Genomic DNA, 26,080 nt, shown 5'->3' on the forward strand with positions numbered 1-26,080 from the left:
GCCTTAAGCAAGACTATTGGCTATATATTGACAGAGAGAGCTCTTACTAAAGAAGAGAATAAGGCAAATAGGTGTTAATACCTAATCCTAAACATTTTAAAAAGTGATCATTTAACTCCCTAATCTCTACCCATAATGTTTACAAATAAGTTCTCAGTTTTTAAACTCGACACCAGGAGCTTATATAGCTTTTCATATGAGAGACATTAAGAAATGTAGCTTTTAATTCAGGCTTACCTTTTTGCATCAGAGAGTATGAGGCCTTGAACAATGATGGCCATGTTCTCTTGGTTTTATCTGTTTTTACTGTAACTATTAGCAAAATATATACTGTTTTTTTTAAATCTAGGAATAAACAAATAAACACAATGAATGCATTATAATGTATATTCAAAAACATATCAAAACAGGCTTACCCAACTAGCCTTGAAAAAGATAACCTTTGGGAAATCTTCCAGGCCAGTCATGACTGCTGGAAAGAAAATAAGCAAATACTTACTAAAGGGCTTTCTCCAAGCGACATATTTCTCTTAGAATTTCCAGTCTTTGGATACTGACACCTTCACCTTCATCTCAGATGACGTAGAAATTCAGCTCGGAATTCAGAAATGGATAGCTTCCAGTTCCTCTGAGAATACTCCTCAATCAACAAGTTGTCTACCTAGCTGAGGCACAGCTTCCTGGAATTAAGACTGCATAACCTAGGTTATAATTAACTCAGACTTCCTCCTCCTCTTGTACCTTGGCCATGACCTTAATCCTCACCTAGATTTCCGTCCCATCTATGGATACAAATTTGTTCTAAATTAGATCAACTGAACTCTATTCCTTTTAGCCTAAGATAAGTTGGCACTGGTGGCCGAAAGGAATCCTAAACCAATTTTAGACCATATAGTTAGACTTTAAGCATGACTCAAAAAAAGCTAGACATCTCAGTGGAGAGATAATATTGCTCAGTTTTATCCATTTTCCCTCATTAAAAAAAAAAAAAAACTTGGGAGGACTTTGAGAATGGTCAGTAGGATTAGAATAACGAGAGCAATTGAAGCTGTGGGAAGACTAATAGTTGATAGTGGTTTATACCTGTAATCCCAACACTTTGGGAGGCTGAGATGGGAGGATCGCTTGAGGCCAGGAGTTCACGACCAGCCTGGTCAACACAGCGAGACTTCGTCTGTACAGAAAATTAAAAATAAAGCCAGGTGTGCCTCATGCCTGTAATCCCAACACTTTGGGAGGCTGAGGCGGGTGGATCCCTTGAGCTCAGGAGTTTGAGACCAGCCTGGGCAATATGGCAAAAGCCTGTCTCTACAAAAAAAATACCAAAATTAGCCAGGCATGGTGGTGTGCACCTGTAGTTCCAACTCCACAAGAGGCTGAAGCTAGAGGATTGCTTGAGCCTGGGAGGTACAGGCTGCAGTGAGCCATGATCGCACCACTGCACTCCAGCATGGGCAACAGAGCAAGACCCAGTCTCAAAAAATAATAAATAAAAACTAAATTAAAAACTTAGCCAAGGGTGATGGTGCACACCTGTAGTCCCAGCTGCTCAGAAGGCTGAGGCAGGATGATTGCTTGAGCCCAGAAGTTCATGGCTGCAGTGAGCTATAATCGTGCTACTGTACTCCAGCCTGGTGACAGAGTGAGACCTATGTCAAAAAAAGAAAGAAAGGCCAGGTTCGGTGGCTCACGCTTGTAATCCCAGCACTTTGGGAGGCCGAGGCAGGCAGAGGCGAGGCGAGGTCGGCAGTTCGAGACCAGCCAACATGGTGAAATCCCATCTCTACTAAAAATACAATTAGCCAGGCATGGTGATGTATACTTGCAATCCTAGCTGAGGCAGGAGAAGTGCTTGAACCCAGGAGGTGGAGGCTGCAGTGAGCCAAGATTGTGCCATTGCACTCCAGCCTGGGCAACAGAGTGAGACTCTGTCTCAAAAAAGAAAAACAGTAATACTAGGCTTAGTGAATTTTTTCAAAGTAATTTGGAGGCAAACAAAATGTTTACAATTCTGGGAGCTGCAGCATTGATAATACACAGAAATAAAAGGAATGATAAAATGGGAGGGACTTTGGAATTTAGCTGCTTTCAACTGCATGGATTTAAAGTTAGATTTAAGTGATGATCAGTAGGTCCATTGCTGCTTACCTAAAGAGCTCAAAGCCCTATCCTATATGATCTTGTTGGTTCTCACAACTTTACAAGAGATATGGGTCAAAGAGTAGAATCAAGAATTTTGCTGGTATGAAAGTTGAGATTTAAAGAAGCTGTTACGTAACTTCACTGACATGCAGTGTCTTCCAAAAAAGAGGAATGCCTTACCTATTACGTTAAAGAGAAAATAGAAACCATCCAGCATGAACTCCTTCAGTTTTCTCCCTTTCACTTCGAACTGATGTACTTTTTTTTTTTTTTTTTTTTTTTGAAACAGAGTCTTATTCTGTCATCCAGGCTGGAGTGCAGTGGCATGATCTCAGCTCACTGCCACCTCAACCTCCCAGGTCCAAGTGGTTCTCCTGTCTCAGCCTCCCAAGTAGCAGGGATTACAGGCATGTTTCACCATGCCTGGCTAATTTTTGTATTTTTAGTAGAGACAGGGTTTTCACCATGTTGGCCAGGCTGGTCTCGAACTCCTGACCTCAGGTGATCCACCCACCTCAGCCTCCCAAAGTGCTGGGATTACAGGTGTGAGCCACTGCACCTGGCCTGAACGGATCTACTTCTGATTACACCCTCTTTCTGCTGTCCCTTCCCTTCTTTCTCCTATCCCAGAGGAAAACAGGACATTCTTTCCAAAACTGTCTTTCTATGTTTGCTCTTGATTCTCTTCCATTTCACTCTTCAGTGGTCTCTCCCTATTTATTCCTCATTTTCATTTGTCCATTTATTTATTTGTTCAGCAAACATTTATTATATTCTTGTTATGCATCAGATTGTGCTTCTGAAATTTTAAAAGACATGTTTCCTACCTTCGAGGGGCTCACAGTCTAGTGGAAGAGGTAGTAAAACAACTACAAATCATTCAACTGTGATACTGTGATACAGTATTTAAAGAGCAACGATAAAAGTCTACACATGATGCTCTGGTTGTGCATGTAGCAGAGCTGGGTCTGGAGCTTAACCAAGAGGACAAGAGGGGAAAGGCATTTAAACAAAGGAAACATGCACCAAAACATGATCACACAAGAGAATTCAAATAAAATTAGTTCACTAAGGAAAGAACACAAATAATAGATGTGTTTTGAAGACAAGGGGTAAGGGAGAGTTACACCAGATAATAAAGAATCTCGAAGGTGATAAGGAATTATTAAAATATATTAAGGATGGAAGTAATATGGTCAGATTTGCATTTTAGGAAATTCAATCACATATCAGAGGAGAAGACTGGGAACTGGCAGGGCGTGGTGGCTCATGCCTGTAACCCTAGCACTTTGGGAGGCCGAGGCAGGCAGATCACCTGAGGTCAGGAGTTCCAGACTCTAGCCTGGGTGACAAGAGCGAAACTCCGTCTCAAAAAAAAAAAGTGTCCATTAATTTTGGCAAATAGCCATTGGTGTTTTTTTGTGACAGTAGTTTCAACGGAGATGGCAGTCAGATGATATGGGCCTAAAGACTATATGGGGCCAAGATCATGTCACTGCACTCCAGCCTGGGCGACAGAGTGAGACTCCATCTCAAAAAAAAAAAAAAAGGTACATGGAACATGGCAAGGAATGGAGACTGTGAATGTAGGTGACTCTTTTCAGAAATGTGGCTGTTTTTTGTGTGTGTGTGTGAGATGGAGTCTCGCTCTGTCACCCAGGCTAGAGTGCAATGGCGAGATCTCGGCTCACTGCAACCTCTGCCTCCCAGGTTCAAGTGATTCTCCTGCCTCAGCCACCTGAGTAGCTGGGATTACAGGCATGTGCCACCACGCCCAGCTAATTTTGTATTTTTAGTAGAGACGGGGTTTCTCCATGTTGGTCAGGCTGATCTCAAACTCCCGACCTCAGGTGACCTGCCTGCTTCAGCCTCCCAAAGTGCTGGGATTAAAGGTGTGAGCCACCACGCCTAACCTATTTTTTATATTAAATATGAAACATATATATATATATATATTTTTTTTTTTTTTTTTTGCAATGGAGTCTCGCTCTGTCGCCCAGGCTGGAGCACAATGGTGCAATCTCAGATCACTGCAACCTCCACTTCCCGGGTTCAAGCAATTCTCCTGCCTTAGCCTCCCGAGTACCTGAGACTGTAGGCATGTGCCAGCCACCATGCCTGGCTAATTTTTGTTTTTTTTTGTTTGTTTGTTTTTTGTTTTTTTGAGACGGAGTCTTGCTCTGTCGTCCAGGCTGGAGTGCAGTGGCACGATCTCAGTTCACTGCAAACTCTGCCTCCGTTCAAGCAATTCTCCTGACTCAGCCTCCCAAGTAGCTGGGATTACAGGTGCCCGCCACCACCACGCCCGGCTAATTTTTGTATTTTTAGTAGAGACAGGGTTTCACCAAGTTGGCCAGGCTAGTCTCGAACTCCTGACCTCAGGCAATCCACCTGCCTTGGCCTCCCGAAGTGTTGGGATTACAGGCGTGAGCCACCGTGCCCAGCCTAATTTTTGTATTTTTAGTAGGGACCGGGTTTCACCACGTTGACAGGCTAGTCTTGAAATCCTGACTTCAGGTGTTCCGCTCACCTCAGCCTCCTAAAGTACTGGGATTATAGTCATGAGCTGCCATGCCCAGCCCCAATATTTAAATTTTTAAAAAACATTGGCCGGGCATGGTGGCTCATGCCTGTAATCCCAGCACTTTGGGAGGCCGACGTTGGCAGATCACCTGAGGTCAGGAGTTCAAGACCAGCAAAACCCATCTCTACTAAAAATAAAAAAAAAAAAATTAGCTGGGCGAGGTGGCGGGGCCTGTAATCCCAGCTACTCTGGAGGCTGAGACAGGAGAATCACTTGAACTGGGAAGTGGATGTTGCAGTTAGCCGAGATCGTGCCACTGCACTCCAGCCCGGGCGACAGAATGAGACTATGTCTCAAAAAAAAAAAAAAAAGTCTTCCCTTTACTTCATTCTCAAGCTACTGACTTATCTTTCATTACTCTTCCCTATAAGTGAATGGTAGGGTATGTGAGCGTATTTTGAATCCTCTTTCTTCTGTTGGTTCTCCTAATGTTTCCCAACTATTTATATTCTGACCTAATCATTCATTACTTATCTCTGCCTCCTTGCCTTCTCTTTCACACCCTACATTTAATACAATCAGCAAATCAGCAAATCCTTACCCTTTTTTTTTTCATTTTTTTCTTTTTTTAGAGCCTACAGCTATTGTACCATCTATCTTCAAAATGTATCCTGAATCTGACAATTTTCCATCACCTCAACACTACCACCCAAGGCCCAGACACCATCTTCTCTCACCCAGACCACTGCAATAGCCTTCTGACTGGTCTCCCCACTTTCACCCTTGCCTTTCTATTGTTTATTCTTGTTTTGTTGTTGTTGAGTCAGAGTCTCACTCTGTTGTCCAGGCTAGAGTGCAGTGGCATGATCTCAGCTCACTGCAAACTCTGCCTCCTGGGTTCAAGCGATTCTCCTGCCGCAACCTCCTGAGTAGCTGGGATTACAGGCATGCCACCACGCCCGGCTAATTTTTATATTTTTAGTAGAGACGGGGTTTCACCATGTTGGTCAGGCTGGTCTCGAACTCCTGACCTTGTGATCCACCTGCCTTGGCCTCCCAAAGTGCTGGGATTACAGGCGTGAGCCACCGCGCCCGGCCTATTGTTTATTCTTAAACCAGCAGACAGAGTGATCCTTTCAAATATTAAGTCATATTTTGTCGGTCTTCAGAAACTTCCAATAGCTTCTCCTATCATTTTGCGTTCTCGTATGCTCTGAAACCATCACCACCACAGACGTCCCTCGTCTAGTTTCCTACCACTCTTCCTCCAGCCACACTGGCCTCGTCACCTCCAAACACACTTCACCTCGGGGCTTCTGCATTTGCTGTTTTATGCTTGGAATGCTTTTCCCTCAGACATCATTTGGTTTATTCACATTTCCTTCAACACTCTGTTCAAATAGCCCCTTAACCCAAAGTCTGGCCACATTTTATAAACTATTGTACCTCAGCCGCTCCTAAGTCTCTACTTTCTATCCTGCTTATATCGCACTACTCACCACCTGGCTTGTCCTAGTTATTTATTTATTGTCTGGTTCCCTTCACTATACTGTGAGCACCCACAAAGCATACCTACCAAGAGCACCTCGCCTAAAGGAGCAGAGATAAAGATAGCCAGAGGCCAGGCGCGGTGGCTCACGCCTGTAATCCCAGCACTTTGTGAGGCTGAGGCAGGCGGATCACGAGATCAAGAGATTGAGCCCATACTGGCCAACATGGTGAAACCCCATCTCTACTAAAAATACAAAAATTAGCCAGGTGTGGTGGCACGTACCTGTAGTCCCAGCTACTTGGGAGGCTGAGGCAGGAGAATCACTTGAACCCGGGAGGTGGAGGTTGCAGTGAGCCGAGATCGCGCCACTGCACTCCAGCCTGGTGACAGAGCGAGACTCCGTTAAAAAAAAAAAAAAAAAAGATAGCCAGGAAACTATTCCTGCCCTTGAGGAACCCACACCTCAGTGAGTCATATAACCTAACAAGTAATTAGAATGGAAATACTCAAAGCAGTTGGATGCCACAGGCTGAGGCCCTGGGGAACCATGTGGTTTGGGTGGCAGTTATGGCACTTTTCAGCCTGGGTGATAGTTAAAACTATGAGTTCACTCTAAGAGAATGTGAGAAATGAGAAACACTCAGGAGACACCAGTGTTTAAGAGGCGAAGGACAAAGAAAGGAGGCTGAGACAGAATAATCAAAGAGGGGAAGAAGAGCTGGACCAGTAGGTCCCCAGATGGCGGAGCTCCTAGATTGCCTTTATCGAATACTACCAATAATCATGGCAGTGGACATTTACTAACAATTCTCTACCCGTCAGTTACTGTTGTAAGCATGTTCCATATTTTCACACATGAAGCCTCACAACAACCCCAGGAGTTAGGCACTAGTATAACCTCATTATACAGATGAGGAAACTGATTCACTCACCCAAGTGCACACACCTAATAAGAAATAAAGATTTGGGCCAGTCAGGGTGTCTCATGCCTGTAATCCCAGCACTTTGGGAGTCCACGGCGGGTGGATCACTTGAGGTCAGGAGTTGGAGACCAGCCTGGCCAACATGGTGAAAACCCATCTCTACTAAAAATACAAAAAAAAAAAAATTAGCCAGGCATGGTGGTGCTTGCCTATAATCCCAGCTACTCAGGAGGCTGAGGCAAGAGAATCACTTGAACCCAGTAGGTAGAGGTTGCAGTGAGCCAAGATCACGCCCCTGCCCTCCAGCCTGGGTGACAGAGCAAGACTCTGTCTCAAAAGATAAATAAATAAATAAATAAATAAACAAACAAATAAAAATACAAAAATTACCTGGGCATGTTGGCGGGTGCCTGTAATCCCAGCTACTCCGGAGTCTGAGGCAGGAGAATCACTTGAACCTGGAAGGCAGAGGTTGCAGTGAGCTGAGATCGCACCACTGCACTCCAGCCTGGGTGACGGAGCGATACTTCATCTCAAAAAAAAAAAAAACAAAAGAAAGCTTTGAACGCAAGCAATTTGAGCTTGCTCTTAATCGTTACATTGTTATCCATAAGACCACACTCTGCCCACTCTCCATGCTTCTTCATATTTTCTTGACCCTCTTAAGGGTCATGTGCTGTTCTGGGCTATGGGTATACAGCAGTGAAGCAAAGCCCCCTCCCTTCATGGAGCTTATATCCTTGTAGGGGAGACCGACATTAAACAAGTAAACAAATCTACGGTAATAAGTGCTGTGAAGAAAAATGAAGTAGTATAAGGTATCGTGAATGATAAGTGGTGACCTCTGAGGAAGTGACATTTAAACAGAGATCTGAAGGAAAAGAGAGACTGAGCCAAGAGGTTATCTGGAGGAAGAACATTCCAGGCAGAAGGAACAGTAAGTGCAAAGGCCTTAAGGTATAAGTGTGCCTGACGTGTTCCAGGAACTCCAAGGAGGTCAAAGCAAAAAGGGATAGGACGAACTAGGGGGAGAGAGGCAGGAGGTAAGCTTTCAGAAAGCTATGAAAGGTTTCCAAGACGTGCTGCTAACTGAAAAGATTAAATTACTCGGCATAGTAGCTTGTGTGGTATAATCACATTGACTAAAAAGATATATATGTGTGTGTGCTTATGTGTATATGCATACATACACATATATAGATATGTATACATACATACTTATTTATAGTCTGAAATATCAGACAACAAAGTTAACAGTGATTACCTTGTAGGAGTTAGACTACAGTTGAAGAGAAGGAAGGGATATTTAGACTTTTTATTTCATTTTATTTAGTTTTTGAGAAGGAGTCTCCCTCTGTCACCCAGGCTGGAGTGCAGTGGTGCGATCTCAGCTCACTGCAACCTCCGCCTCCCAGGTTCAAGCGATTCTCCTGCCTCAGCCTCTCAAGTAACTGGGACTACAAGCGCCCACCACCATGCCTGGCTAATTTTTGTATTTTTAGTAGAGACGGGTTTTCACCATGTTGCTCAGGCTGGTCTCGAACTCCTGAGCCCAAGAGATCCGCCCGCCTCGGCTTCCTCGGCTGGGATTATAGGTATGAGCCACTGCACCCAGCCTAGATTTTCTGTCTTGTATTTTTCCATAGTATTTGTAACTTCTTGCATATCCTACTTTTATAGTAACCAAAAATTAGCTTACAAAAATCAACATTTTTTTTTTTTGAGATGGAGTCCCACTTTTGTCACCTAGGCTGGAGTGCAGTGGTGTGATCTTGGCTCACTGCAACCTCTGCCTCCCAGGTTCAAACGATTCTCCTGCCTCAGCCTCCCAAGTAGCTGGGATTACAGGTGCCCGCCACCACACCCGGCTAATTTTTGTCTTTTTAGTGGAGATGGGGTTTCACCATGTTGGCCAGGCTGGTCTCAAACTCCTGAACTCAGGTGATCCACCCACCTCGGCCCAAAATCAACTCTTAACCATGTGTTAAGGGACTCCAGCTAAAGCCCCTTCTCCTTCTTTTTGCAGCTGAGCTTCCTGAAACAGTTTCCTACACATGTTCCTCCTTGCCTTCCCCATTTTCTTCTTAACCAAATGCCATCTGATTTAGACTTCACCTTTCCCCTACGCCTACTCTTCCTGGGAACACCTGTGACTTCCCTCTGACTATAACGAACACTTGCAGTCCTCTTGCTTCTTGACCTCTCTGCCACATTTGACATTGTTTACAGCTCCTCTGAAACATTCTCCTTTGCTTTCCTTCTTGCCCCCTTTTACCTTCCTGAGCTGCTTTCTCAGTCTCCTTTCATTGGCTACTTTTTATAGCCCATCACACAGACCTGGGTTTCTTCTGGTTCCAGTCTTAATGCCTTTGCCTCTGTGTGCTACACATACTCTTTTGTGTGGTCCATGCCCATAGTTTCAACTACCATCTCCATGCTTCCAAGTCCCAGATCTGTATTTTTAGCATTTTTTCCTGAGCCCCTGTCCAGTGTACCAACCTGCTTGTTAGACAGCTCCACCTGCAGATCTCACAGACATCTCAACTCAACTGTTCCAAAACCAAAGTCATCATCTCTAATTAAAAACATCTGCTTCCTCTTGTTCTCTTTAACTTACTTCGTGGTACCACCATCTGCCCTATTGACCCCATCTAGCAACCTGAGAAAAGCCCTTTTTCTTTATTTCCTGTATCTAAATGGACAACAAAAGTGATTCTATTTGCTAAATATCTCAGCAATCTGTCTTCATTCCTACATCTTCACTGTCACTGCATTCATTACCAATGATCTGGACTACTGCATATGGATATATGAGTCTGAACCCCTAGGAAGAGACCAGAAATATCCTAACTACATTTTCTGCCTCTATTATCACTACCAGCCTTATACTCAGCTGCCGAGGGATGTGGTACAAATTCTATCATGTCGGTTCCTGCTCAAAATTTTTCAAATGTTTCCTAACCTTTATAGAATAAAATTCAAACTCTTTAATATGCTCTGGCCAGTCATCTTCTGACACTTTCCCACATGTATCTTTTTTTTTTTTTTTTTTTTCCCAGACAAAGTCTCACTCAGTCTCCCAGGCTGGAGTGCAATGGTGTGGTCACGGCTCACTGCAGCCTCAACTTTCCAGGCTCAAGGGATCTTCCCACCTCAGCCTCCCAAGTAGCTAGGACTAGAGGCACATAACATCACATCCGGCTAATTTTTTCATTTATTTTTTGTAGAAACGAGGTCTCACTGTGTTTCCCAGGCTGCTTTTGAACTCCTAGGCTCAAGCGATCCGCCTGACTCAGCCTCCCAAAGTGCTGGGATTACAGGCATGAGCCACCTGCCCAGCCACCCACATATATCTTTTTTGTTGTTGTTGAGGCAGAATCTCAACCTCAGCTAACTGCAACCTCCGCCTCCTAGGTTCAAGCAATTGTCGTGGAGCTGGAATTACAGGCGTGCACCACCACACTCAGCTAATTTTTTTATTTTTAGTAGAGACATGGTTTCGCCATTTTGGCCAGGCTGGTCTCGAACTCTAGCCTCAGGTGATCTGCCCGCCTCGGCCTCCTAAAGTGCTGGGATTACCGTCGTGAGCCACTGCGCCCCGCCACATATCTTATGTTTAAATAATACCGAAGTACTCTTTGTTTCTCAAAAACCCCATGCCTTTTCCTGCTTCTGTGAAAGTTTTATGACGTAGCACCTTTGTATCTCCAGCTCTAACGTAGTACCTGGTACAAAGTAGGTGCTCAACAAATGCTTGTTGAATAAATAAAAGGACAAAAGAAAATCAGAAAGCACAAAGGTTGAAAGTAAGGACACTGACCAGAAGACTACTATGAGAGTACAATTTGGAGTAATCAGGAAGAGAAGGAAAGAAAATGCTTTAGTGTAACATTTCCTTCAAGCTTCTACAAGGTGAAACAATCATAATCAAATAATAATTACTCCTGTAATTAGTCTCTTTGAAAAATATGAACTTTTGTCATTGGTACAATTTCAAATGGGGACTGCTTAAGTGATTTGAAATAAAATGTTTCTTAAAAACACACACACACACACAAAAACCCAAACAGCCCAGGACATGACATGTAACTGCCAAAATCCTGACAAAACATGACCCTTTGGGTATAAATCCCAAGGTCCAAGAGTGCATCTGGGAAGAGTCATTTATTTTGCAAACATTAATTGGGTGGTATAGACACCGTTCAGCACAGGGGATAAAATGATAAGTAATACACGGTTTCCTGTCCTCAAAGAGCTCATGGTCCAAGAAGCATCTAGCCCTTGCCTTTGCGCAGAACTCTACTGAATTCTTTTCTTTTTTTTCGAAATGGAGTCTCACTCTGTCGCCAAGTCTAGAGTGCAGTGGTGTGATCGCAGCTCACTGCAACCTCTGCCTCCCAGGTTCAAGCGATTCTCCTGCCTGGGCCTCCCGAGTAGCTGGGACTACAGGCATTCGCCACCATGCCTGGCTAATTTTTGTATATTTAGTAGAGACAGGGTTTTGTCATGTTGGCCAGGCTGGTCTCGAACTCCTGACCTCTTTACAGAAAGCCAGATGCCTATGCTAGGGTTGTATTTAAAGTCCTTTTAGGCTGGGCACGGTGGCTTATGCTTATAATCCCAGCACTTTGGAAGCCGAAGCCGAACTCCTGACCCGCACTTAAGGTCGGGAGTTCGAGACCAGCCTGGTCAAGGTGGCGAAACCTTATCTCTACTAAAAGTACAAAAATTAAGGCTGGGTGCAGTGGCTCACACCTGTAATCCCAGCATTTTGGGAGGCTGGGATGGATGGATCACTTGAGGTCAGGAGTTCAAGACCAGCCTGGCCAACATGGTGAAACCCTGTCTCTACTAAAAATACAAAAATTAGCTGGGCTTGGTGACACACACCTGTAATCCCAGCTACTAGGGAGGCTGAGGTGGGAGAATTCCTTGAGCCCGGAAGGTGGAGGTTGCAGTGAACTGAGATCACGCCACTGCACTCCAGCCTGGATGACAGAGCGAGACTCTGTCTCAAAAAAAAAAAAAAAAAAAAAAGTACAAAAATTAGCCGGGTGTCGTGGTGGGCGCCTGTAATCCCAGCTACTCAGGAGGCTGAGGCTGGAGAATCGCTTGAACTCTGGGGCGGAGGTTGCAGTGAGCCGAGTTTGCACCACTGCACCCCAGCCTGGACGAGAGTGAGACTCTGTCTCAAACAAACAAAAAAGTCCTTTTAGTCATAGGAATAGCTATATATAATTTATTTTTTTGAGATGAAGTTTTGCTCTTGTTGCCCAGGCTGGAGTGCAATGACGCAGTCTCGACTCACCGCAACCTCTGCCTCCCGGGTTCAAGCGATTCTCCTGCCTCAGCCTCCCAAGTAGCTGGGATTACAGGCATGCGCCACCACGCCCAGCTAATTTTGTATTTTTAGTAGAGACAGGGTTTTCTCCATGTTGGCCGGGCTGGTTTCGAATTCCCAACCTCAGGTCACCCACCCACCTTGGCCTCCCAAAGTGCTGGGATTACAGGCGTGAGCCACCACGCCCGGCCAATATATATAATTTTTTTTTTTTAAAGCTCAGAAATGGAAATTCACGGATTCAGGGTAAAATGCAGCCATTGCTTCCTTAATTAGAAGAGTGTTTTTGTGGAAGAGTAATGGACTGTACCCTTTTTTCCCCAGAAAAAAAGCAGCACCTGAGGATTCTGAACAGTTCTCTGCTCAGTGATGATCAAGCCTTCCTTTGGACAAGCTTAAATAACTCAGCCACTGTTCTTTGTTGGAGGACTTTGGGACTACTGATGCAATGTGTCCACTTGGGGGCCCTTTGGAGAAAAAATTGCTAATTTCAGAGGGGCAGCCGCACCAGTGGTTAAGGAAATCCCTGGGGAGAAAATGTTTCTGTCTGGATTAGAGAGAAGACATCTTATTTACTCATTCAATCTTCATGATAATCTTGTGAAGCTATAATTAATATCCTTATTTTTGCAGATTAGGAAACTAAGACGTACTGAGGCTGGGTGCCTGGTTCAAGATCATATAGCTAACATTATTGGACATGCAAATCAAGCCCAGATTTGTGACTCTGAGCTGATGTTAATTCTGTCACAATATTGGTTCTCAAGATAAATCTTTCCAGGTGAGGGGGAAAGGGAATAAATATCTAGAAGTCCCCTTAAACAGAAGTAATTAATTCGTTTGCAGAAATTGGCAAAATTTGGGGTTCCCTTCTTAAAAGTTTCCTTCTGTCACTTGGAAAAAATTTAAAATATGTGCATTAGGTTGACAAAGATCAAAAAAGTTAAAAAAAAAACCCTTTTTGGAATGCTGTGGAGAAAGGAGCACTTTTATTTATCTATTATTTATTTTATTTTATTTTATTTTATTAATTAATTATTTTTTTTCTTTTTCTGAGACAAGGTCTCATCTCACTCTCTTGCCCAGGCTAGAGTGCAGTGGCCTGATCTCAGCTCACTGCAGCCTCAGCCACCTCAGCTCCACTAGCAGCTGGGACTACAGGCACATGCCAAGTTTCCCAGGCTGGTCTCAAACTCCTGAGCTCAAGATCCTCCCATCTCAGCCTCCCGAAGTCCTGGAATTATGAAAGAGGCACTCTTTTTTTCTTCTTCTTTTTTTTTTTTTTTTTTGAGACACTCTTCTCCGTCTTCCAGGTTAGAGTGCAGTGGGGTGATTTTGGCTCATTGCAACCTCCACCTCCCCGGTTCAAGTGATTCTGGTGCCTCAGCCTCCTGAGTAGCTAGGACTACAGGTGTGTGCCACCACGCCAGGCTAATTTTTCTATTTTTAGTAGAGACGGAGTTTTGCCATGTTGGCCAGGTTGATCTCGAACCCCTGACCTCAGGTGATTTGCCCACCTCTGCCTCCCAGAAGTGTTGGAATTACAGTCATGAGCCACTGCACCCAGCCAAAAGGCACTCTAGAACATTGCTGGTGGGAGTATGAATTAGCATAACCTTTACCGGGGACAACTTGGCACTGTCTATTAAAACTACAAATGTACATACCTTTTGACTCAGCAACTGCTCTTCTAGAAATCTATACTACAGATACATTTGAACATTTGCAAAATGACGTATATTAAAGGTTATGCACTGCAGCATTGTGTGAAATACATGCAACAGATTGGAAACAACTCAAGTGCCCACCGATAGAGAACTGATTAAAGTAAGCTCTATCTCTATTCCATACAGCCCCAATAATGAGGAAACTGTCTACTTATAGTAATATTTCCAAGATATAAGTGAAATAAGCAAGATTCAGGAAATTGGTTTGATATGCTTTTATTTATGCAAAAACTTCTATATGTGTATGCTTTTGTAGGCATAGACTATGTATGGAAGAATATACAATAGACTGATAACAGTTACTCCTACTAAAGGGTAAGTAATATTACTGAGGTTGGGGAGAGGATGATTCAGAGCAAAAATAAAGTGAGGACTTTAAGGACTTTAATTCCTTTAATTTTTTTTTTTTTTTTTTTTTTTTGAGATGGAGTCTTGCTCTGTCGCCCAGGCTGGAGTGCAATGGTGGGATCTAAGCTCCCTGCAACCTCTGCCTCCCAGGTTCAAGCGATTCTCCTGCTTCAACCTCCCAAGTAGCTGGGATTACAGGCACTTGCCACCACACCCGGCTAATTTTTGTATTTTTCATAGAGATGGGGTTTCACCATGTTAGCCAGGCTGGTTTCAAACTCCTGACCTCATGATTCGCCCGCTTTGGCCTCCCAAATTACGGAGTGAGCCACCACGCCCGGCCTCCTTTTAAATTTTTTTTTTTAATTTTTTTTTTTTAGAGATGGAGTCTCACTCTGTCGCCCAGGCTGGAGTGCAGTGGTGCGATTTCGGCTCACTGCAACCTCCGCCCCCCGGGTTCAAGTGATTCCCCTGCCTCAGCCTCCCGAGTAGCTGATTACAGGCACCCGCCACCACACCCGCTAATTTTTGTATTTTTAGTCGAGACGGGGGTTTCACCATGTTGGCTAGGCTGTTCTTGAACTCCTGACCTCAGGTGATCTGCCCAGCTCAGCCTCCCAAAGTACTGGGATTACAGGCGTGAGCCACCGTGCCCGGCCTTAAATTTTTAACCATATGAATGTATTAGGTATTCAAGAAAAATATGTTGAATGAAAATTTAAAATAAAAAATAAGTAAAGCACATCGAATTTAAGGTACCTAATGTGTAAGGCACAGAATGTCTTTTTTTTTTTTTTTTTTTTTTTGAGACGGAGTCTTGCTGTCGCCCAGGCTGGAGTGCAGTGGCGCGATCTCGGCTCACTGCAGGCTCCACCCCCCGGGGTTCACGCCATTCTCCTGCCTCAGCCTCCCGAGAAGCTGGGAATACAGGCGCCCGCCACCTCGCCCAGCTAATTTTTTGTATTTTTAGTAGAGACGGGGTTTCAGTGTTAGCCAGAATGGTCTCGATCTCCTGACCTCATGATCCGCCTGCCTCGGCCTCCCAAAGTGCTGGGATTACAGGAGTCGTAATGTCTTTTTATGATCAGCAGGATGGTTAACGGATATTTGCTGTCAGACCCCAGTGAGTTTTAGCACTTCTACTTACTAGCTGTGTGACTTTAGACATTATTCTAAGCCTCAGTTTCCCCATATGTAAAATCAAACTTATAGAATTGGAGAGAATTGAGTGCACATAAAGCACTTAGGCTCACAGAAAGCACTGAAAAATGTTATTATTAATATTTTCGCCCTAAAATCTCCAACAATAAACCAAATTCTGACTTGCTCTGGCTCCTTTTGGACTAGTCTAGAGGCAAAGAGACAAACTATATGATTTCTCAAGGAGTTTTTCTGCTCAGAGGCTTGAGTCTGGGGACTCCACACAATATTCGAAGACATTCTTCCTTCTTTCTGCTGCCTTGCAACCTGCAGACCTCCCACCTGTGTTAAATGAAGAATGCTTGAAGTGAGGTTACTCAGAACCCACCCGGTTCATGTTTTCTCAAGGGTAGAAGGCGGGAAGAAATCTGTTGACACAGTTATATAAAGCCTGTCATTCAGTCCCCTGCCTATTACCTCTGCAGACCGTTATGCATATTAAAGAAGGGGGGGCGGCAAATACAAAAGAAAAATAAGAGAGACGAGAGAGAGAGAGAAAGAGAGAGAGAGAGAGAGAGAACGAACAAATCAGGATGCTTGAGGGAATCCACGTGGTCGCCAATCTGTAACTGATCAGAGCAGCTACACTGAAGCAAAAACCCCAGCGCCCAACGCTAAATATATTGCAATGGAGAAACCGTCCACAATGGGGTGTCTCTGTCCTTAGCAGAGCCTTGGGGCTGCCGTTTAAGACCCTCCTGCTACTCCCACCCTTTTAGCATCTAGTAAACCACGCGCTGTAACAACGGAATCTTGTTCTGTGTATTGCGTTGTGCGAGTGTGCGCTTTGCAAACCATCTGGGCCCCATCCTGCGCGGTTGGAACGAAGATCGATTCGGGACGAGTTGGGGGAGTTGAGGCTTGCCTGTGTCTCCTCCCTTTCATTGCTCCTCTCCAGCCCCCATCCCATCGTCCGCTCTGCACAAATGTTTCGCCAGTGGAGGGACGTAGGTTTTCAGCACCAGGAGGCTGTGGACCTTCTCTGGAGGCGTGAAGTGCACCCTCCGGAGGGCCAGAGCTGAGTGCAACCTGCTCACAACGACCCTCTCCCTCCTTCCCAAATTCGCCGCCCCAGGCTGTAATATTACATGCAGTGCGCTGTACCGGTGCGGGAGTCCAGGAAGGCTGCATGACCTTCCAGCGAACTCCCCCTCGGCTTGGGGGATGGAGGCTGCCCCGGGGCCTGCAGGCTGTGTATCGATCCCCCAGCCTCAGCCAACGCAAGTTCTCCCGACACAAACCCCTCCCTACCCTCTCGGCTTTCCCAGCCTTGCAGGCGTCTAACGCTATGCTCGAGGCGCCCTCCCCTCTTTCCCGCAATAAAGTAAACCCGGTGGATATTCATTCCCCTCCCTAACTCGCCTCCTTCTTTCCCCCTCCCCCCTCAGCTTACTAACCCCGCGCACAGAGCTCGCCGCCGGCGGGCCCCTTCCACCCAGTGTATCATAATGCCCAACGCTCTCCTCCTCCCCCTCTCTTAATCAGAAACGTGCTCGCGAGCCCCCCTCCCTCTGCGTGCATACATTAGGGTCTGCTTTGCATGCAGCGGCAGGCAGAGACCGGAGGAAGAAGGGGCGGGGGCGCTTTTGCCCGCCTCTTCCCTCCAGGCCCCGTTAGCCACCCAGCTTCAGCTTCGTTGTAACACCGCGTCGTTAGCGGAGCACGCCGTGGCCTCAGTGCCCGGGCTGGAGAAACACAACCCAACTCCCTGCAGAAGGGCACGAAAGCCAGACGAGTGCACAGTAGAGCGAGGAGGTGGCAGGAGACCTGCCACTCGGTGTGTGCTTTTTGGAAAGAGCTCCAGCATGAAAATGGGAGGGGCTCCTTTTTTATTTTTTAAAGTGCGTTCATTGAGGGCCTTTCTGTTTTGCATATAGTAAACTGGGCAGCGCTTCTGTTTTGCATGTAGTACAATAAGGGCTCTTTTATTCTAGAAGCGTTCAATTCGGGCTAACCCATCTTGTATCCGTGCCCTGGGGCGGAGGAGAAGGCTCACTGCTCCCCGACCCAGCCGCCGCGTTATACTGGAAGCTGCTCTCCCGGGCTGTTCGATTCCCAGCGCGTCCCGGGAACGTGTGTAATCGGCCTCTCGGCGCTCAAGGCTGCAGGCGGCCCGGCTCCCTACGCCTCCATCCTCCGCGTAGTCCTCGCCCCCTCCCCCTCTCTCCGGAACCCGCGCTCTGCTCCGGGCTCCCGGGCTTCCTTCCCCCCTCCTTTTCCCGAGCAATGCCTCTCCCGGAGGGCGGGGCATGCAGTTATCCAGGTTGCGGGGCCGGCGGGCGGGCAGGAGGCGGCGGCCCGGGCCTCGGGATGGAGTTGCAGCGCCCAGGCGTCAGAGGCGGAGGCCCGAGGCCGCTATACAGATTGCGGGGCTGGCGGGCGCGGCCCGGCGCTCTGCATAGCGGCCGGCAGGGTGCAGGCGGCCGGGCGGCGCAGAGCTGGTTAGGCAGGTTCCGGGGCCCCGTGCCCCCCCCTCCGCCTCCCCGCCCCCCTGTGTTGTCGCCTCTCCCTCTCGCTGCTTCACTTCACGGGGCGAACATGGCGCACAGCTGTCGGTGGCGCTTCCCCGCCCGACCCGGGACCACCGGGGGCGGCGGCGGCGGGGGGCGCCGGGGCCTAGGGGGCGCCCCGCGGCAACGCGTCCCGGCCCTGCTGCTTCCCCCCGGGCCCCCGGTCGGCGGTGGCGGCCCCGGGGCGCCCCCCTCCCCCCCGGCTGTGGCGGCCGCGGCGGCGGCGGCGGGAAGCAGCGGGGCTGGGGTTCCAGGGGGAGCGGCCGCCGCCTCAGCAGCCTCCTCGTCGTCCGCCTCGTCTTCGTCTTCGTCATCGTCCTCAGCCTCTTCAGGGCCGGCCCTGCTCCGGGTGGGCCCGGGCTTCGACGCGGCGCTGCAGGTCTCGGCCGCCATCGGCACCAACCTGCGCCGGTTCCGGGCCGTGTTTGGGGAGAGCGGCGGGGGAGGCGGCAGCGGAGAGGTAAGGGGGCGAGGAACCCCCAGGTCCGGGGTCTCGACCCTCTGCGGAGCCCCCTCCCCTCCCCCATCCGGGATTGAGGAGCATCCCAATTCTGGGACCATCTCGGGGTCCCTGACCCGGGGCGAATGGCTCTCCCATCTTGGGACCCCCATGCAGGGCTGCAGACCCCCAGGCGCCCCCACCCCGGGGTTTGGGCCCATCTGGCTGAGGGCGTTTGCCCCCCGCTCTCCTCCCCCTGACCCTTCCCCAAATCCCTTGGCACAGACCCCCTCGCCGGGGTTTCCCATCCCGGGACTGAACCCCTCCTCCCTTTCACAGATTACCTCATCCGAGCAAGATTCCTCCCTCCCTCCCTCCTAGAGACCTGATCCCGCCACATCCCCGCCTCCCTCTCTGGGCAGATGTGTTACTCCTAGGGCAGTTTTCCTCTCGGGCGTCTCTCGGGTGATGGCCTCATCCAGGGCCACGTTCTCCTGGCCCTTGGGGATCGTGTCCCTTCCAGCACCTTGCTTTCGAAAACCCGATGAACCCTCGCGCCATCCCCGGGCCAGGTCCCTATACTGCCAGCCACTCCCCCTTCCTTCACCTCCACCCTCTACCCCCACCCCAAGCAGACCGATCCTCCCCCATCCCGCCCTACCCCACCGGGGAAAATCTCTCCTCTGCACCTTGCCTGGTCTCACCTCCTTTCCCTCTGAAGATAACGGTGATTCCTCATACAGCAGTCTCTTCCCCCCCCCGCCCCGTCTTACAGGGCTACAGTTTCTAGCCTATTGGTAGCCGGGAATTACTCTACCTTCACTCCACCCTTTCCCTCCTTTAGAATGAAGGATTAGTGGCATCTTGGAGGGGAAAATAGTCCACTGTCCCCTAGGCTTAGAGAAGAGCAGCTTTCCACCACTCCCCTTGGAGAGGAGGCAGGCTTTCCCTCCAGCTCTGGGGAAGGGGGCCCCTGTGAGGGGAGGTGTTTGTTGGGGGACTGAGGCAGCATCCTCCCAGGGGAAGCAGCTGCTCTCCTACCCCACCCACTGCGCCTGAGAGCACGCAGTCTCCAACCCGAGCTCCCTCCCGCCCTTCTCTTCTCGTCATTTCATTATTGATCCACCTTTTCCTAGGCCAATCCTGGGGCTTGGAAGGGGTGGGGGAAGCCAGGTTGGGGTGAGGAGAGTAGATAAGGGACAGTTATACTTTAGTGTGGTGGCGGTGGTTGCTTTGGGATGGGAGAAAAAGGATTATCAAGCAAAGTTATTCCTTAGAAAGGACTTGGGGTTGTCTCTGATTCTTGTAAGGGGACCCAAGGTGGATGAAGGGTCAGAGCGTTGCCCCTTCCCCATTAGTACTGGGGCAAGAACGGAGTTGCTTCTATAAACATTATTCGGCCCCCTTCAGCAAAAAGGAAAGTTGCCCAAGGAAGGGAAGTTGAGTTCAGGTTCAGCCAGTGGCGTTGCGCATTTGTTTTCCATTGGATGCAGAAGGGGGGAGTTCGAATTGTAGAGGGGGGAGGATGGCATGGGGGATGCTAGGAGGAGGAAGAGCAGCTGCTAGGGGCTGAAGCGAAGGGGGGTAGGGGGTTGCTGCTCTGGAGTGCTCTTGATTGAAACAGAAAGGGAAAGATAACAACCAGCCGTTTCCTGCGTGCTCTGCCGTTGGTGCACACAAAATATCCTGGGCAAACCCCTTGTCCCCTATTGTGCCCCGCACCCCTTTAGATTTACGGAAAGATCCTGGGAAGAAGGGGAGGGAGGAGATCCCAAGGACCCTGGCCCCTCCTTTCAAGGAGCTGGCATTTTTTAGTTGTTAGTCTTCCTGCCTCCTTTTTTTTAATCGTTTCTAAGGCAGCCTGATCAGGAGACTGACAACAACCCGCCTTCTGACAGAGCAAGGAGGACATGATGGGGGCGTGTTCCTTGCTATGTAGCTAGCTGCAGCGTCCCCTTTCCCTGCCTCTTTCTGCTCTATCTCCACCTCCTTTTCCCAGCCTTCAGAAGGCAGCTGCAGTCAGCAGGGTTGTTTGAGACTATTTATTGGTTGCTGTAGATTATTATTTTTTTTTGAAAGGCCAATTCTGTATTTTTTAAGCTAACAACACAGATCCCATGTAGTTGGAGAACCAAAGGCCACATACATGACAAAAAGACTGAACCGTTCAGGTTACTTGCATGGAGTTGGTGCTTAAATGTGAGTTGATTTTGCTTTTTTAAAAGATACAGCAGCAAAAAAAAAAAAAAAGAAAAAAAAGAAAAAACTGACATTTCATTTACCTGCTTATTTTCAAAATTGAGACTTGCCTGGTTATATGTAGCATTTTAGCCCCATGTATATTTGAGTTTAATAAGAAAGTCTCTATTAGGAGAAGTTAGTCCATTTTAAGGGGATCCTAAGAAGCATTTTCTTCTTGTTCAGTATGCTTATTTATTTTGTATAGAAGGACTAAGCATTCACATTCCAAATATTATCACATATTCAAAAGCAAAGTTTTATGCTGACAGCTTCCAATCATAGTTTTTCAAGAGACTGGTTAGAAAGAGAGCCACCTGGATTCAGGGACCTAATGTCTGGGCACCAGAATATTTTATCTGTTGGTCTTTGACAAATCACTTTTAAAGTTTTAATCAGGGGCTAAACGTTTTCTTATCTACTGGCATTATGAGATAATTGTAAACTACTGTTTTATTTTTCTTAACACTAGTATATAATGTAAAGCCTGTCAAGGAATTGCAGTTATTTCAAATAGGATCATATTTATAAGGGGTTTTTGTCTTTAAAACTTTTTCCTGAACAGTAGTTGCTGCTTCATTATGAGAAGAGTGGTTGACTCCTTACATTAAACTTGAGTATTTTTTCTGAATTGGACTTGAATGAGCTCTGTTCCATGGGTAAGCTTTTTATGTGGTGTTTGAGGCAATCCAGTATGAGTTGATGGTATGCATTGAGTAGTGGTAAACCTCTGAGCTGGTAGTTTTCAGTGTAGAAGCAAGCACTTTTTTTTTTTTTTTAACATAGCCTTACTAATCAATGATAAAGTTCCAAAAGGGAAGTTTAGGGTTCACCCTGGGCTGACATAGAATTCTAAAGACTGCTTCTCAGAACTCACTCATAGCTCTGTATCAAGTCTTATCTGGATTCATGAAGAAATGGTTATATGATCCAAAATGATTCTAACCTCTTTAAACTCTGGTTCGCCTTCAGTGAATAATGACTATAACTTGCCTATGTAACAACACCTATGTTAATACTTCTAAAACTAGGTAACAGAACTTCCAGATGACTTTGCTGTTTGAACTCCCTTAGCCATAGGAGACTTGTCCTTCACTGCTGTTGGTTCCTAACTTCCTTTGTATGACAATTAGGAAGTAGAATTGAGGTTTTGTTTTATTGAGCACTGTAAGAAATCAGAGGTCCATTTTTTGCCTTTCCCCTTCCCTCTGTAGTGTCAGTATCCCATTTTTCTAAGGATTCTCTCAGGTAATGTTCATACTACTGTACTTTGCCATCTAAATAAACATAGTACAGCAGCACCCTTTCTGTTGACTAGAAGTTAGGCTGTTGTAATAATAAACCCCTGAAACAGTGTGTTTATCAGTAACTAGTCTTCGTTTATTAATGTCATAATCCAGTTACCTTCCCTACTACTTCACAAAATATTAAAAGCAAAATTTCCATCCTGATCATAACATAGCAAACTTTAATTAGATACAAATTGAAACTGAGTTACAGCATTGGTGTGTATTTATTTTCACTTGAAATTGCAGTTTAGTTCATGTGGACTGAGACAGGCTTTTGGATTGGACTTGAAAAGATAGTACTCCTGCAGCTGAAAGGTAGTAGGAGAGCGTGATTTTTTTTTTTTTTTTTTAATGTTTACTGGTCATGTATGTACCAAGAGTGGGAGTTGCTCCTTCGTTGCCTTCACAGCTAGTCCTAAGATTGGCAGAAGGTAAATGAAGGAGGGAACACAAGCAGAGTGGAGTGCACGAAGCCTCCGAGTAGAAGTCAGTGGATGTGGGCTCTCATCTCCGTTACTGAACAGTTATGAGACCCTGGGCAAATTCACTTTTAACCTTAAATTTCTGATCTGTAAAATGAAAAGTTTGGACTAAATAGCTCATGAATCTGTTCTGTGTCAGTATTATGATTCCTTTCTGTTGTATTAAACTTTTGGTCAAATCAGAATTTCTTATTCTGAGTTTATTTCAAAAGTCAGAGTCAAGTGAGACGATTTGATAATTTTTGTTTTTTTTTTGAGTCAGGGTCTCACTATGTTGCCCAGGTGCATCTTGAACTCCTGATCCTCCTGCCTTAGCCTCCTGAGTAGCTGGGATTCTGTTTGGTAATTTTTAATATCAGATTATACATTTGCCTATATAACTGGCATTATTATTAGGAGGAGAAATTTCAACTTGGAAAGTTTTCGTTGTGTGGAAAAAACATAAGGACTTTGGGGAAGTTGACCAGTTTCATTTATAAGAAAAATGAGGATAAAGTTTTTACACATAGTTCTGAGAACCTACAGAATCCCAGGCATTATCTGGTGTTTAGAGGCCCTCTTGTTTGGCTAAATGTGTTGTCATTGTTGTGAATTCCAGACTATCCAAAAGAGAAGTTATTTTCAGTCTAGGTGGTATATTCCTGTAGGTGTATGAATTTTGAATGAAAAGAAAAATCCAATACATCAATGTATTTATAAATCTGAAGTGATAGTACCTACTTCATAGGATGTAGTTATTAATATGTTCTGAAATGGTTTATACTGAGCATTAGAAATTCAGTCTTTAGAACTTTTCTTCCTCTGTGACTGAAAACCAGATGACATGTCCCCATCTTTCACTTCCATTTAATTATCTTAAGGCACATACTCCTGGAGGAAATCATCATTCACACAATAGTGATCCATCTTCTTATTGGAAGTTGAGAGAAACTATTCCCATCTTGACTTAATTCTCATCTCTTTGCTCACCTTAGAGCTGTCCTTCCGTGGGGCAGCTGTGCAGACTCTATACCAATTGCCTCCCTTACCCTGTGGCTAGAGGGGGTGGCAACAGTGCTTTGCTTGCTCAGAGGCATAACAGACTGCAGTGCCTCTCTCTTTTGGAAACTCGCTGTGTTTTAATTGTAGGTCTCCTAATTAAGATCTCTTTGTGCCTGCCCACATTCCACTAGTGTTGGCACAGAGCTTCAGCTTCCTTCTAGCACTTAACTGAAGGCCTTCAATCGGGCCTTTTGTGAATATCTTGTCTCTTTCCATTCTTCCTCTGCCAAGGTGGAGAGCCCAGTGGCATAGACCTTTGAGAAGGGGGAAGCTTTGTGACTATCACTACTTTGGGAGGAATTTATTCGAGGATTGCTGGGATGGGACCTTCCTTTGTTTGCATATGTTATTTTCAGGGATTAAGAAAGGTTAAATTACTAATGAGTCTGGCATGATGTACCTACATTTTAATCAGATTCTTAACCCTGTAGGCACTAGTAGGAAAGAGGATGCCACAGAGTTCACTGTTACAAAGTATTTCCTTGGATCTTATCTAGACTGGTTTATGAAACTTGATGAGTAAAATATTGTCGTGGAGTAAATCTCAGACTCGTGATTTTTGTGGACTCTGAGGTTGTTGAAGACAAGACAATCAGATGAAATTATTGATTGCTCCTAAGTTGTATCGGCTTTGAGACACAGACTGAATTAAAGTTAGCTTTCAGATCTGAGTTAACTTTTGATTAGAAAGACTTTAGGAGGTTCTGGAAATTGTTGAGTTAATTAAGAATACCCTTGTAGGCTCCACTATTTCTTGAGATTTTCAGGAATTGTCTAGGCTTCTAGAGTATTTTCAGAATAAGATAAAATAGCTTTTCTGGAAAAAGTAGTTTGACTTTAGTTTCCAGGACCTTCGTATTCAAAATACAGTATGTTCTTTACTAGATCTACATGTGGCATGCTAGAGAAAATGCTATCTTTTATTAAGAAAAAGGAATCTTAAGTCCTTTACCTGGACCCAGATGGCTTCATTGATCACATCAGTATGAGGTTACGCAGACAAAGGGCTATTTTTGTTGTTGTTATTGTCATTTCATTGGTTGTTGAAGAAGGCCTGGGAGAAGGAAGTACAGGATCTTTTATGGCATGCATTAAATAAAGCTGGAGGCCTGCACTCTTATACCTGAGTGGGTGGTTTTATGGCCTAATTCTCTAATTGCTGGCATTTATGACAGTGTGGATGCTACTGGCCCTGTGGCTGAGGTAGATTATGCTGGGAATAGGGAGGAAAAAGGGGTCCTTTTGTTAGCCTTTTCATTTTGCCCCTCAATAAAGTCTCTGCAAAAACCCTGAGGAAATACAGAGACACTTGGACTGAGGGAATGACTTCCCATAAAATGGTTCTTTATGTTTTTAAAATGATGAGCCGCTTTTCTTGACCTATCCAAAGAAATCCATACCACCACTGTTAAATATTTCAATGAGTTTTTTACCTTGTCAGGTTACACACCAGGGGAAGCCAACCATGAGACTGTAGCTGCTGCCAAACATTCGCTTCTAAAGACTTAAGACATTTGAAAGAAGAATTTTGTTACGTGATTTGTAATTGTTGTGGATGATATAAATCCCCTTGAAGGATTAGTCCAAAACTTCTAAGAGGCCAAGCTTGGTTTAACTTTTAGATGTTGAATTGAATGTATTGCCCTAATGAGTTTTAGTTTTAAGGAAACAACAAAGATATAAGAGTTAGTTGGCAGTTTTGTGTGCAGTGTATGAAAATTCCCCTTCCCTTGAAATGAGTAGTTGTTTTTCTATTTGACAAATAGACTGAAGGGATTTCCCCAGATATCTTACCTTCAATTATTGCTGCAGCAGTACCCTGTGAAGTACCAGTGGGCAGCATCGGTCCAGTAGCATTTATTTCAGGAGCTGGAGTTTCTTCCGTATATAGTGTTTTATCCATTTTCTTGCATTTCTGGTTTTGTGTTTTGTTGGGATGTTTGGGTATAGATGTTTTGATGTCTTTCAGCAACAAAAGATATGAATCTTTCTAACATTCATACTGTTTTAGAGAGATCCACTTGTATTATCTATGCTTTGCTGAAGCATCATTGTTTCATTCTTATTTTACAGCATCAAGGTAATGGTAGCTTTCTGTCTTGAATTAGGAGAGTGATATTACTTGTGAGAAGGGTTTTGGAGAATAGTTTTTTCTTTAGGCTGTCCTTTATACTATCTCAGTTCTAAACACTAGGGAAAAGTTAATTCTTATCTCTAATAAATATCCTACACCTAGAGAAAGAAATATTTACACATGCCCATATTCAACTTCTGTCCATCCATGAGGATTGACCACTTTTTAGATCAAACACAAACATTGTCCCTAGATTATTGCCTTTAATTATAAGCAGTAAAACCTTGTGGATAACATCTCTTTAAGCTTA

At 45.5% G+C, this 26,080-nt stretch overlaps 1 protein-coding gene and 1 long non-coding RNA gene across 11 annotated transcripts in view, besides 6 other annotated features; one reads left to right on the forward strand and one right to left on the reverse strand.

Annotated features, from left to right (window-relative positions):
• The window catches only part of LOC100131626 (uncharacterized), a 37,596-nt gene extending 37,058 nt beyond the window's left edge, over positions 1 to 538 (reverse strand). For both annotated transcript variants that reach the window (NR_046370.1, NR_046369.1), the window contains exons 1-2: positions 500 to 538; positions 238 to 345 (exon numbers count right to left, since the gene is read on the reverse strand). This is a non-coding gene — a long non-coding RNA (uncharacterized LOC100131626). The remainder of the gene's footprint in view (positions 1 to 237; positions 346 to 499) is intronic.
• Positions 17,187 to 18,184: an enhancer, noted in NCBI's record as "H3K27ac-H3K4me1 hESC enhancer chr11:118306179-118307176 (GRCh37/hg19 assembly coordinates)". NCBI's record gives its function as "activates a minimal SCP1, AML or CMV promoter by ChIP-STARR-seq in naive and primed H9 embryonic stem cells {active_cell/tissue: H9 hESC(naive and primed)}" and the evidence as "EXISTENCE:reporter gene assay evidence [ECO:0000049][PMID:30033119]".
• Positions 17,187 to 19,183: a biological region, named in NCBI's record as "H3K27ac-H3K4me1 hESC enhancers GRCh37_chr11:118306179-118307176 and GRCh37_chr11:118307177-118308175".
• Positions 17,384 to 17,523: an enhancer, noted in NCBI's record as "active region_5592". NCBI's record gives its function as "activates an Ori minimal core promoter by ATAC-STARR-seq in GM12878 lymphoblastoid cells {active_cell/tissue: GM12878}" and the evidence as "EXISTENCE:reporter gene assay evidence [ECO:0000049][PMID:35858748]".
• Positions 17,834 to 18,313: a silencer, noted in NCBI's record as "silent region_3944". NCBI's record gives its function as "represses an Ori minimal core promoter by ATAC-STARR-seq in GM12878 lymphoblastoid cells {active_cell/tissue: GM12878}" and the evidence as "EXISTENCE:reporter gene assay evidence [ECO:0000049][PMID:35858748]".
• Positions 18,185 to 19,183: an enhancer, noted in NCBI's record as "H3K27ac-H3K4me1 hESC enhancer chr11:118307177-118308175 (GRCh37/hg19 assembly coordinates)". NCBI's record gives its function as "activates a minimal SCP1, AML or CMV promoter by ChIP-STARR-seq in primed H9 embryonic stem cells {active_cell/tissue: H9 hESC(primed)}" and the evidence as "EXISTENCE:reporter gene assay evidence [ECO:0000049][PMID:30033119]".
• The window catches only part of KMT2A (lysine methyltransferase 2A), a 90,341-nt gene continuing 82,475 nt past the window's right edge, over positions 18,215 to 26,080 (forward strand). For 5 of the 9 annotated variants that reach the window (XM_011542829.3, NM_001412597.1, XM_011542830.3 and 2 more), the window contains exons 1-2: positions 18,215 to 18,667; positions 20,747 to 20,845. In XM_011542829.3, the coding sequence (XP_011541131.1) occupies positions 18,236 to 18,667; positions 20,747 to 20,845 (531 nt within the window). In that variant the 5' untranslated portion in view covers positions 18,215 to 18,235. The remainder of the gene's footprint in view (positions 18,668 to 20,746; positions 20,846 to 26,080) is intronic. The other 4 variants (NM_001197104.2, NM_005933.4, XM_006718839.4 and 1 more) reach the window with 1 other exon arrangement.
• Positions 19,184 to 20,181: an enhancer, noted in NCBI's record as "H3K27ac-H3K4me1 hESC enhancer chr11:118308176-118309173 (GRCh37/hg19 assembly coordinates)". NCBI's record gives its function as "activates a minimal SCP1, AML or CMV promoter by ChIP-STARR-seq in primed H9 embryonic stem cells {active_cell/tissue: H9 hESC(primed)}" and the evidence as "EXISTENCE:reporter gene assay evidence [ECO:0000049][PMID:30033119]".

This window comes from Homo sapiens, chromosome 11 (genome assembly GCF_000001405.40).
Source record: "Homo sapiens chromosome 11, GRCh38.p14 Primary Assembly".
Lineage (NCBI taxonomy): Eukaryota > Metazoa > Chordata > Mammalia > Primates > Hominidae > Homo > Homo sapiens.